Source organism: Homo sapiens, chromosome 5, assembly GCF_000001405.40.
Source record: "Homo sapiens chromosome 5, GRCh38.p14 Primary Assembly".
NCBI classification, from domain to species: Eukaryota; Metazoa; Chordata; class Mammalia; order Primates; family Hominidae; genus Homo; species Homo sapiens.
The window spans coordinates 155,673,832-155,685,410 of record NC_000005.10 but is presented as its reverse complement, the minus strand read 5'-3'; the positions used below and the strand labels follow the sequence as shown (position 1 = coordinate 155,685,410).

The window sequence follows — 11,579 nt, the reverse complement described above, 5'->3', positions numbered from 1 at the left end:
GTTCCCTGCTATACTCAGTCATTGCCTGAAACACCCCAGTGAGAACACTGTTTCAGTGTGAATGACACAATGGATCTGAAGGTACAACAGCTGGTGCCTCTTAGCCAATTACAGTCCGCACACCACGTCTGCTTTAAGGGAGATCTAAGTGGCACACCTTCATTGCCATAATATTCAGTCACTCATCTTTCTAAAAAGCTACTGAAGTTGGCTAAGCACATATTACTCAGCTGAAATCACAAGATGGCTTCAGGAACAGTATAATTACTACATTCCAGCTAACCTTACCTGCCCTCCAACAAGCTCCCTAAAACTATATGCAAAGGTTTCAAGAAAGGGTTTACCATTTAAAATGAGAAAACAATTTTTTTAAATCAGAAAAGTAACTGAGATGTCTGCAAGATGTCTGAGTAAAGGCAACTAGCACTTGTCCCCCTCACAACAAAGGACTTAGGCAACAAATAAACAACTAAAATTCAACTGAGTGTTAAGAGAGTGGTAGAATACAGCAAGAAAGTGTCAGGATTCCTGGATTCCTGTGGTTCTGGTAAGCCCAGGCTGACAGCATACAGATGGGAATGAGGCCTGGCCTATACTGCCCCATCTCCCCCCATAAGATCAGCCCAGAGTCAGGATGGACATACTCTTGTGGGAAAAAAAAATAAGTAGAAAACCCCTGCCAGTCCCAGTGCCACTGCAGACACCTGCAGTCCTTCCTACAAGATAATCCCATAGTGCTCATGAGCCCTGAGCCCTATTTGGGGAGTTGCCTAAATTTATGCACTGCTATGAATTGTATAACTATAGCACAGTACTATTTTGAAATCAGAGAAACTGTTGGAGTTCACCCTGCTCTGGGAGCCAGCAGTCACTGTGCCTCTTCAGCCCTTGGACTCTGCCATTATTCCACCAAGCCCAGATGAATGGCTGCAGTGCTACAACACCAGCCATGCAGAGCCTTGGCCCATGAATGACTGTGACTGCAGTCCTGCAAAGCAGGAAGACCAACGTCAGGCTGGGTGAACCACCATGCACCCATGCTCCTAGCCAGAAAGACAGCATGGGGGACCCACCCCTGATCTGGTCAAGCAGCAGTGGCCTATGCCCCAGGCTGAAATAACAACCTGGTGGCCCCAATCAGCCAGTCCCTAAGCCAGCTGAAGTATCATGTGCATGTATGCTCCCCTAGCTGGAGAAAACACCCAGTAAGCCCAACCCTAGTAAACCTGCGCCACTGCTGCCACAGACTTCTGCAGCCTGAAACTCCAAGGCATTTGTATTAAGCCATTTTCACACTGCCGATAAAGACATACAAGAGACTGGGCAATTTACAAAGAAAAGAGGTTTATTGGACTTGGTTCCACATGGCTGGGGAGGTCTCACAAAAATGGCAGAGGGTAAAAGGCACGTCTCACATGGCAGCAGACAAGAGAAGAGTTTGTGCAGGAAAACTCCCCTTTTTAAAACCATCAGATCTCATGAGACTCATTGACTATCAACAGAACAGTGCAGGAAAGACTGCCCCCACAATTCAATCACCTCCCACCCACTGGGTCCCTCCCATGACACATGGGAATTGTGGGAGTTACAATTCAAGATGAGATTGGGTGGGGACACAGCAAAACCATATCAGCATTCATAAACATTTCTAACAGGAATTACAAGTAAAGAAACTGCAAGAAGAACACATTATTGCATTGATCTAAAAGCAAAGCCACAAACCTGATACAACCAACATCTTAGGACCCAAATGTGGAAATGTCTTTCCCTAAGAAACCTACCTTATAAAACTGGAAAAGGCAACTTTCACCACATGTGCAGATATCAATATTGAGACAAAATAAACATGAAAAAGGAAGTAAACATGGCACCCCTGAAGGAATACAATAATTTTCCCATAATAGACCCAAAAGAGCATATATAAAATACCAAAAATCAAAATAGTGGCTTTAAGGAAACTCAGTGAGATAAAAGAGAATACAGTTACAGAATTCAATAATATCAGAAAAACAATTAATAATCTGAATGAAAAAATCAACAAAGAGATAGATATCATAAAAATGAACCAAATAAAAATATTAGAGCTGAACAATTGAATGAATTAAATAAAAAATACAATCAAGAGGCTAGGTGTGATGGCTCACACCTATAATCCCAGCACTTTGGGAGGCCAAGGTGAGCAGATCACCTGAGGTCAGGAGTTTGAGACCAGTTTGGGCAAGATAGTGAAACCCAGTCTCTATAAAAAATACAAAAAACTTAGCCAGGTGCATGCCTGTAGTCCCAGCTACTTGGGAGGCTGAGGTGGCAGGATCACTTGAGCCTAAGAGGTCGAGGCTGCAGTGAGCCAAGATCACACCACCGTTAGCAGCCTGGGTAACAAAGTGAGACCCTGTCTCAAAACAAACAAACAAACAACAGCTTCAAAAACAGATTAGACCAAGCAGAAGAAAGAATTTTTGAACTGGAAGATAAGCTTTTTGAAGTAACACAGGTACACACACACAAAAGAAGAAGAATAATTTTTTTAAATGAAGAAAGCCTACAGGACTTATGGGACACTATTTAGCAAATGAACATTTGCATTATGGGGATTCAAGAAGCAGAAAAGTTGGGAAAAGTCATAGAAAACCTACTTAATGAAATAACAGCTGGAAAACTCTTAAATGTTGGTACCTCCAGATCTAGAAAAGGCAAAGATTCCCAAATAGATTTAACCCAAGCAGGTCCTCTCCAAGGCATGTTACAGTCAAACTGTCAAAAGTCAAAAGCAAAAACAAAATTGTAAAAACAGCAAGAAAAGAGTGTCAAGCTACATATGAAGAAATTCATATTAGACCACCAGAAGATTTCTCAGCAGAAAACTTACAGACCAAGAGAAAATAGGATGATATATTCAAAGGGCTAAAACAAGGTCAAGTGCAGTGGCTTATTCCTGTAATCCTAGTATTTTGGGTGGCTGAGGCAGGCACATCACTTGAGCTCAGGCATTTGAGATCAGCCTGGGTAGCATGGTGAAACTCTGTCTCTAAAAAACAAAACAAAAAAAGAAAAAGAAAATTAGCCAGGTGTCATTGCATGCTCCTGTAGTTCCAGCTGCTTGGAAGGCTGAGGTGGGAGAATGGCTTGAGCCCAGGAAGTGGAGATTTCAGTGAGCTGAGATCACACCACTGCACTCCAGCCTGAGTGATAGAGCCAGACCGTGTCTCAGAAAACAAACAAAAAGTGCTAAAATAAACAAAAAACAAGCAGCCAAGAATACGGCACCAGCAAAGCTATGCTTTAGAAATAAAGGAGAAATAGGGTGTTTCCCAGATAAGAAACAACTAGGAATTTATCACTACTAAACTGACTTTACAAAAAATACTTTAGGGAGTCCTACACCTGGGATCACAGTGAAGACAAATATCATAATGAAAACATACAAAATTATAAAATTCACTGATACAGCAGATAAATAAAAGGGAAAGAGAAAGGAATTTTATCACTACAAATAAAGGAAAACACCAAATCACAAATATAATAAGACAGGACGAGAGAAACAAATGGTATACAAAACAACCAAAAAAACAATAAAATGATAGGAGTAAGACACCTCACCTATCAATTATAACCTTGAATGTAAACAAATTACATTCCCCAACTAAACGATATAGATTGGCCAAATGGATGAAAAAATAAGATGCAACTATATGCTGCCTACAAGAAACTTATTTCACCTGTAAAGACACACTGACTGAAAGAGAAGAGATAGGAAAAAGATATTCCATGTGAACCGAAACCATAAGCAAACAGGAGCTGGTATACTTATATCAGAAAAAACAGACTTTAAGTAAAAAACTTTAAAAGAGACAAAGAAGAATATTATATATTTATGAAATGATAAATTCAGCAAGAAGATATAACAACTATAAGTATATATGCACCCAATAATGAAACACCCAGATATAGAAAGCAAATATTATTACATCTAAAGGAAGAGTTAGACTCCAATAATAGTTGAGGAGTCCAACATCCAACTCTCAGCATTGGAGAGATCATCTATAGAGAAAATCAACAAAAACATTTAATATAACTACACCATGAACCAAACAGATGTGAGACATTTCCAGTTCATTTCACACAACAGCTACAGAATACACATTCTTCTCACTGGCAGATGAAACATTCACCAGGATTGACCATATGTGAAGGCAGAAAACAAGTCTTAAATGATTTTTAAAAATCTAAATCATATCAAATATATTTTCCAACCACCATGGAATAAAACTAGTAACAAGAGAAACATTTATAACTGCACAAATACATGAAAATTAAACAACATACTCCTCAACGACCAATGAATAAAGAAAAAATTTTAAATTCTTTGAAACAAATAATAAAAACACAACATACCAAAACCCATGGCATACAGCAAAATCAGTATTAAGAGCCAGCTTTATGGCAATAAAGCCTTACAATAAAAAGTAAAGGGATTTCAAGTAAAGAACCTATGGATTCACTTCAAGGAACAAGAAAAGCAAAAACAGAACAAACCCAAAATTAGTAGAAGAAAAGAAATAAAAATTAGGGTAGAAATAAAATTGAAACAAAATATTTTTAAAAATGAAATGAAAGTGTGTTTAGATAAACAAAAATCAACTCATCAGCTTTACTAAGAAAAAAGAGAGAATATCCAAATAAATAAAATCAGAAACAAAAAAGGAAACATCATAACAGATACCTCAGAAATACAAATAATCATTATAGATTATTAAAAGCAACCATATGCCAATAAATTGGAAAACCTAGAAGAAATGAACAAATTCCTGGATAAATCTACTGCAATTGACCAAGAAGAAATAGAAACACTTAACAAACTGATAAGAATTACTGAGATTGAATAAGCAATAGTCTCCCACAAAAGAAAAGCCCAGGACCAGATAGCTTCACTGCCAAATTCTACAAAACTTACAAAAAAGAACTAACACCAATTCTCCTCAAACTAATTCAAAAAAATGAAAAGAAGGGTCTTCTTCCTAACTCATTCTAGGAGGTCAGCATTATCTTGATACCAAAACCAGGCAAAGACACAACAAAGAAAGAAAACTATGTTCATCAGTATCCCTGATGAACATAAACACAAAAATCCTCAAAAAATACTAGCAAATTAAATCCAATAGCACATGAAAAAGATAATATACTATTGAGATGGAATATTTCCCTTGACCCCCTTAGTAGGCAGAAACTGGAGTGCCTCGTTTCACCAAGCCTGCAGTCTGTGGACAGCTAAGTGTTAACAACTCAGGGAAGGGTCAGGGTGACAGCCTCCTGCACCTGCCCTTTTTTGTACCTGAGTTCTTGTTCGGTGTCCAGGTAGAATCAGGTCACATGAACTATTTGAAGGTTGGTGTATGCAGAGGATTTTATTGGGTGATAACACTGGCTCTCAGTTGGATGGGGAATTGCAAAGGGAATAGTGCAGGAAGAAGGTAATCTCTCCCTGAAGCTGAACTGTCTGAAGTTAGCCATGTCTATCCATAGTCTCTGATGACCAGCTGCAGGTATCCCTGATGTTCAGAAGCTTGCATCCCCCAACTACTTGCATCAGCTGCTTGTGTTGCTCTTTCAGCTGAAGTCTTTTTATGGGCACTGGATAGGGGTGTGGCAGGCCAAAAAGGCAATCATTTTGGTGGAAAAGCAAAGTCAGCTGTTTTCACTTAGGGCCAAGGTTCCAAGCTTAAGGGTGGAGCTTAGTTGGAAGGCCAGCCCTTCAGGGTCAGCTGTTTTTACTTAGGGCTGAGGTTCCAGGCTTGAGGGTCGGGTTTAGCTGGGAGCCCAGAGCCATTCTGTATCATTTTCACCCTCTGAAGAGGCATATCTAACTGCCTTTAGAATATGGATGATGACCAGTCTTAGCTACTTCCTGCTGAAAGGGGGCATTGTTTGGGGAAAACCGCAGTCAGATTCCTCCCAGACGTCTACCTAAGGATCACTGGCAAAAGGGAGCCATTGTCCGAGGCTCCGGCTTCCTGCCCATTTGGAGCCTTAATGACATCTAGGTGAGAGAAAAAACAAACTTTACAAGGTTAACTATGCATGGATCAAACATATGTATTATAGAAGGAAAGAATCTAGTGCCAAGGGTTACAGAAATAAGATGTAAAATATACTAACAACATTTTATCCTAAGCTGTTTCACCCTGGTAAAAGAAATTAAACCTTGTATGGAAGTGGTTCAAATTTATGAGAAAGATAACTGTTCTTGCAACATCTGAAGCAGTTAACAGGTGAACCTTAGGAATTCCGGGGTTTGTAGGCTTGCATTGTGGCCATTAAAGCTTCTGCCTCTTTCTTACGTCTGAAAGACTGAGGTGGCCACTTTCAGGAGGTTCCTTTCTAGAGAATTCTGGGGTTTGTGGGCTTGCATGGTGGCCATTAAAGCTTCTTCCTCTTTCTCACGTCTAAAAGACTGAGGTGGCCACTTTCAGGAGGTCCTCTAAAGTACCATCTGGTCCCAGGGTCCATTTCTAAGTATAAACTGGAGGTGGTAAAGTTTCTTGGTTGCCCATTCTGAAAGACAGGGAATTCAATGTCCTTCATTCCCTTCCTTCTTTCAGTGAAAACTTGGGGTGTGAGGGAGAAAGAAAATGGGCATTCCCCCTTTTGTGTCCTTATCCCAGAGTCCTGGCAGTGTTGGCATGTGCCACCCATGGGTGCCAATGTGACATGCACTCATTAAGCAGGAAAGGCCTAGAAAATAGGAATTATTCACACTCACCAGTGCCTGTACCTCCCCTACTGTCAACAACTTCTGAGTTTCCTGGACCTCACTTATGCCATAAAGTATGGCCTCCTTCCATGAAGCAGGAGTTTAATTAGCAGGAATTGGTCCTGCCTGTTTACACTGTGCTTGTTTTGTGGCTTTGGATCCCTCAGATCTGGTTTTCCTTTCTAGGGCCTCAACCTGAAGCTTGGAATCAAGTTTGAGACATAAAAATTATTTCACGAGGTACATAGATTCATTTAGATTAAATCCCATGCGGGCTTTGCCAAACTTGCAGTTAACAGTCAGCAGGGGTTCCTCCTCTGTTGTTTCCCTAACATAAGCAGAGTGCTGAGGTAGAAAGAGAACTCTCTTTCCCTATCGTAAGCAGAGTGCTGAGATAGAGAACTCTCTCACTTAGAAAAGAAGAAAAACAACTCAACTTAAAGTGCATAAGTTGGGGAGCCTGAGGGAAGAGACTCTTGCTCTGTGAAAATGGGTTCCTTCAATCATTGTATCCTCCCCTAGTTCAGTCTAGCTAGACCTCCCTGAAGGGAAACAGAGCCAGCATTCCTTTTACCCAAAGGAAAGAGCATGGTGACAGGGTCTTGGAAAAGAGACAGATCCAAGAGTTCCACATTTTAACTCACCACTTTTCATATCCTGGATGAGCCCCGAAATGAGACAGGATGTTTCCCTAGACCCCCAACCCCCTTTGTGGGCAGGAACTCAGCCTGCAGTCCATGGACAACTAACAGCCCAGTGATGGGTCAGGGTGACAGCCTCCTCCACCTGCCCTTTTTGACAACCAAGTTCTTCAGTGTCCAAGAAGAATCAGGTCACATGAACTATTTGAAGAGTAGTATATTTTATTGGGCGATAAAAGTGGCTCAGTTGGATGGGGAATTGGAAAAGGAATGGTATGGGAGGAAGGTGATCTTTCCCTGAAGCTGCACCATCTGAAGTTAGCCATATCTATCCATAGTCTACAACACTCAGCCGCACGTATCGCCAATGTTCAGCAGCTTGCATCCTTGACCACTTGCATAAGCCACTTGTGTTGTTCTTTCAGCTGAAGTCTTTTTATAGGCACTGGATAGGGGTGTGGCAGACCAAAAAAGGCAATTATTTGGGCAGAAAAACAAAGTCAGCTGTTTTCACTTAGGGCTAAGGGTCCAGGCTTAAGGGTTGGGTTTAGCTGGGAGCCCAGCTGTTCTGTATCACTATGATCAAGTGGGATTTATCCTGTGAATTTAAGAATGTTTCAACATATGCATTCTGTTGATGCATCACATCAACAGAATGAAGGACAAAAATCATCTCAATGAACACAGAAAAGCATTTGATAAAATTCAATATTCCTTCATAATAAAAACTCTCAACAAAAGGAACATACCTCAACATATTAAAGGCCATATGAGACAAACCCACAACTAACATCATACTGAATGAGGGAAAGCTGAAAGCCTTCACTCTAAGAACAGGAACAAGAAAAGGATGTTTACTTTCAACACTCCTATTCAACACAGTACTGAAAGTTCCACCTGGAGCAATCAGGTAAGAGTTTGGATTTTCTAATCCAAATTAGAAAAGAGGAAGTAAAACTCTCCCTCTTTGAAGATCACATGATCTTATATTTAAAAAAATCTAAAGATGCCACCAAAAACTCTTAGATCTGTTAAATAAATTTAGTAAAGTTGCAGGATACAAAACATACAAATGTCAGTAGCATTTCTATATATCAACAATGAACTAGCTGATGCAGAAGTCAAGAAGGCAATCCCATTTACAATAGCTACAAAAAATAAAATATGTAGGAATAAATGTAACCATGGAGGTGAAAAACCTGTACAAGGAAAACTACAAAACACTGATGAAACAAATTGAAAATGACCATACTATACAAAGCAATCTAAACATTTACTTCAATCCCTATCAAAATACCAAAGTTATTTCTCACAGAAATAGGAAAAACAACCCTAAAATTCCTTTTAAATTAAAAAAGAGCCCAAATAGCCAAAGTAATCCTGAGCAAAAAGAAAAAAATTAAAGACATAACACTACTAGATTTCAAAATATATTACAAAGCTATAGTGAACAAAACAGCACGATATAGGTACAAAACAGACCACATAAGCCAATGGAACAAAATAGAGAACTCAGAAATAAATCCACATATTTCCAGCTGACTGATTTTTGACAAAAATGCTAAGAGCATACATTGGGGAAAGGACACCCTCTTCAATAAATGGTGCTGAGAAAATTGGATATCCATATGCAGAAGAATGAAACTGGAGCCCTATCTCTCATCACATACAAAAATCGTCTCAAGATGGACTAAAGACTTAAACATAAGACCTGAAACTATAAAACTACTAGAAGAAAACCTAGGGGAAACCCTTCAGGACATTGGCCTAGGCAAAGATTTTATGGGTAAGACCTTAAAAGTACAGGCAACAAAAGCAAAAATAGACAAATTGAATTATTTAAATTTAAAAGATTCTGCACAGCAAAGGAAACAATCAACAGAGTGAAGAGACAAGCTGTTGAAAGACAGAAGATATAAAAAATTACTCACAAGGGACTAATATCTAGAATATATAAGGAATTCAAACTGAACAGTAAGAAAACAAATAATCACATTAAAAATTGCCATATCTCAAAAGAAGACTTACAAATAGCCAAAACATATATAAAAAATGCTCAACATAATTAATCATTAGGTAAATGCAAATCAAAACCACAATGAGATATTTTACCACAATTAGAATAGCTACTAATAAAAATACAAATAAAACCCAAACCAGATGCTGACAAGGATACAGAGGAAACAGAACTCTTACACACTGTTAATGGGAGTGTAAATTAGTACAGCAATTATGAAAAACAGTATAGACATGATGCAAAAACAATTGAACTGCCATATGATCAAGCAATCCAGCTACTGATTATTTTTCAAAGGAGAGGAAATCAGTATATCAAAAGGATATACTCATGTTTATTGCAGCACTATTCACAATAGCAAAGATATTGAATCAACCTAAGTGTTCATCAGTGGAGAAATGTCAAATACACACAATGAAATACAATTTAGACATAAAAAAGAATGAAATCATGTCAGTGGCAGCAACATAGATTGAACTAGAAATCATGTTAAGTGAAACAAGCCAGGCAGAACAGAAAAACATTGCATGTTCTCATTTATTTGTGGGATCTAAAAAAGTTGATCTCATGAAGGTAGAGAGAGCATTAGAGATACTAAAGGCTGGGAAGTGTTTGTGGGTGGGTGGGGGAGATAAAGAGAGGTTATTTAATGGGTACAAGCATACAGTTAGATAGAAGAAAAATGAGTTTTAATGTTTGAGAGCAGAATATGGTAGCTATAGTTAATAATACTGTACTGTATATTTCAAAATAACTAGAAGAGAGGACTTGAAATGCTCCTAACATATAGAACTGATAAATACCCAAGGTAATGCATGCCCTAAATACCCTAACTTGATCATTACACATTTTATGCATAAAACAAAATATCACATGTACCATAATATGTACAGATATTATGTATCAGTAAAAAAACCTACAAATAGAACTACCATATGATTTAGTAATCTAACTACTGGGTATATACCCAAAGGAAATAATATATCAAAGAAATATCTGCACTTGCATATTTATTGTAGCACTAGTCATAATCACCAAGATAAGAAATCAGGCTAAGTGTCAATCAATGGACGAATGGACAAATTAAATGTGGTATATATACACAAGGGAACATTACTCAGCCATAAGAAAGAATTAAATCCTGTCATTTGTGACAACATGGATAAGCCTGGAGGACATTGTGTTAAGTGAAATCAGTCAGGAACAGAAATATAAGTACTGCATGTTCTTACTCATATGCAGAAGCTGAAAAAGTTGATCTCATATGTACGTTGGTGCAAAAGTAATTGCAGTTTTGCACTGTTGAAATTTGCTGCTTGATATTAGAATACATTCTAAAATAAATGTGGTTTATTTATCAAATGTGTGTTATATATCATTTTAATGTGCATTTCTCACTTTATTTTTTTTTGCTAATGACTTATTACTTGCTATTTATTTTATATTTATTTTAGATTATGGAAATTATGTTAGATAAAAAGCAAATTTGAGCAATTTTCTGATTGAAGTTCAAAATGGGTTGTAAACAGCGGAGACAACTAGCAACATGAACAACACATTTGGCCCAGGAGCTAATGAACGTACATTGCAGTGGTGGTTCGAGAACTTTTGCAAAGGAGACCAGAGCTTTGAAGGTGAGGAGCACAGTGGCTGGCCATAGAAAGTTGACATTGACCAGTTGAGAGGAATCATTGAAGCTGACCCTCTTACAACTACACGAGAAGTTGCCAAAAAACTCGACGTCGAACATTCTATGGTCACTCAGCATTTGAAGCAAATTGGAAAGGTGAAAAAGCTCGATAAGTGGGTGCCTCATGAGTTGACCAAAAATTTTTAAAATCATCATTTTGAAGTGTCATCTTCTCTTATTCTACAGAGCAACAATGAACCATTTCTCAATCAAATTGTGACATGTGACAAAAAGTGGATTTTATGTGACCACTGGCAATGACCAGCTCAGTGGTTGAACCAAGGAGCTCCAAAGTGCTTCCCAAAGCCAAACTTGCACCAAAAAAAGGTCATGGTCACAATTTGGTGGTCTGCTGCCGGTCTGATCCACCTAAGCTTTCTGAATCCCAGTGGCACCACTACATCTGAAAAGCATGCTCAACAAATCGATGAGATGCACTGAAAACTGCAACACCTGTAGCCAGCATTGGTCAACAGAAAG

General features: G+C 38.6%; 1 annotated feature.

Moving 5' to 3' along the window:
* Positions 1,027 to 1,527: an enhancer, noted in NCBI's record as "H3K4me1 hESC enhancer chr5:155063444-155063944 (GRCh37/hg19 assembly coordinates)". NCBI's record gives its function as "activates a minimal SCP1, AML or CMV promoter by ChIP-STARR-seq in primed H9 embryonic stem cells {active_cell/tissue: H9 hESC(primed)}" and the evidence as "EXISTENCE:reporter gene assay evidence [ECO:0000049][PMID:30033119]".